The following is a 1,615-nucleotide window of genomic DNA, read 5'->3' as shown; positions in this document are numbered from 1 at the left end:
CTCACTGATTCTAGCACCACATACAAATGGCTCTAAGTTACATTTTGTAATAAGCTGTGAATGAGTAGAAATTGAAATTATAATATAAATAGTGAAATTGTCTTCCTGGCAAATTTATCAGCAAAATGTAAATTTTGGTTGCTGAGCAGTTTATTTAAAAAACTAACATGACCTCTGAGGGGAAATTACATACTTTTAAAAATAGTTATAGTCCTAACAAGATAACTTTACATCAGAGATACATACAAGTCCCTATTAGGAATGCCACATAAATGCATAAAATTGGAGGTCTGGAAAGATTATTAGAGATCATCTAGTCCAGAAACTCATTTTATAAAACCTAGTTCATTTCTGAAATATACATGTTGAGTACCAAAAGGGACGTATACTTTAAATCTCTGAAAACATGAAGCAGTTGGTCTCACAGTGTCCCAAATCCTATCTTTGTTTTTGATAATGTATCTCAATTAAAGGACTGAAATGACTGTAATGAGCAAGGTGGAATCTTTATTGCTAATACTTAAGTCATAGTGGTGATCCCCTGATAACTCTGTCATTTCAAAAAGATAAACCTATGCCTTTTTCATCAGCCACTTAATATCTCAGATTCTCTTAAAAACAGAGAAATGATAGATACATATATAACAGCATCACACATGCAAGTCTAATACCTGTCCCATGTGGCACTATTTACCCTGGGAAATCCTCAGAAATGTACTACTGCTATGAAAAAATAGATAAGATAATTTTCTTAAATGCTAGAAGATAAACTATCTCTTGACAAGCAACCACTTCCTTTGCCTGAGTAGTAATTATTGCCCTCAAAAGGAAATTGTGTTTTATCTATTATATCATTAGATGAATAGAATTTATAATCCTGTGTTATAAATAGAAAGACCAAATGGATAAGCTATATGTATGAATTGATATTGTGCTTTGTGCTAATTTTGTAGAAGACTAGACTAACATACTTAAACCTTCCTGAGTTTGCAAACTGAGGAAGTGAAAAATGCCAGTTGGGCGCACAATGGTGTGATCCAGGGATTCTGGTACCCTAATTAAAAGAATGGGTTTTCTCTTTACATCTGGAGTTTGCAGACTAGATGCTATTCAATCAGATGCTACTGGATTTTCAAGTGGCTTCAATGGCTGAAAATACTTTTTTGTGTCTGTGTTTTACAATCATGTTAGAACATTGTCTCTTTTTTATGGAGCTTGTCCTCAGATCCCAAGCCTTTGTGACCTCCAGACCAGATTCCTGTGGGAGCTTTGTCTAGATCCCCTTGGCAGACCACCCAGAAGCTTTCCACTGGTACAAAACACAGCAGCCCAACCACATAAAGATGTGGGCTGAAAACAGAGGACACAATTCAAGCCCAGCATCTTATGTACAAAGACCTCAAAGTGAGCCTATTCCATCAGAGTTCCCAAATCAGATAAATTCTGAACTATAGATCAAAGTTTTAGGTAATGATGTGACAATGGGTCTGAGAGCTTGCCAAGTAAATATAAAGCTGAGTAAATTTTTGTAAGCCATAGCATTGTCATATTTTGATAATTTTGAATTTGAATGTAAAAAATTCTTTTTATATTGATAGACTCATTTAAATGAAAA

The sequence above is a fragment of the Homo sapiens genome, chromosome 4 (assembly GCF_000001405.40).
Source record: "Homo sapiens chromosome 4, GRCh38.p14 Primary Assembly".
In the NCBI taxonomy this organism is placed as follows: Eukaryota; Metazoa; Chordata; class Mammalia; order Primates; family Hominidae; genus Homo; species Homo sapiens.
Note: the sequence above shows the minus strand (reverse complement) of the source record.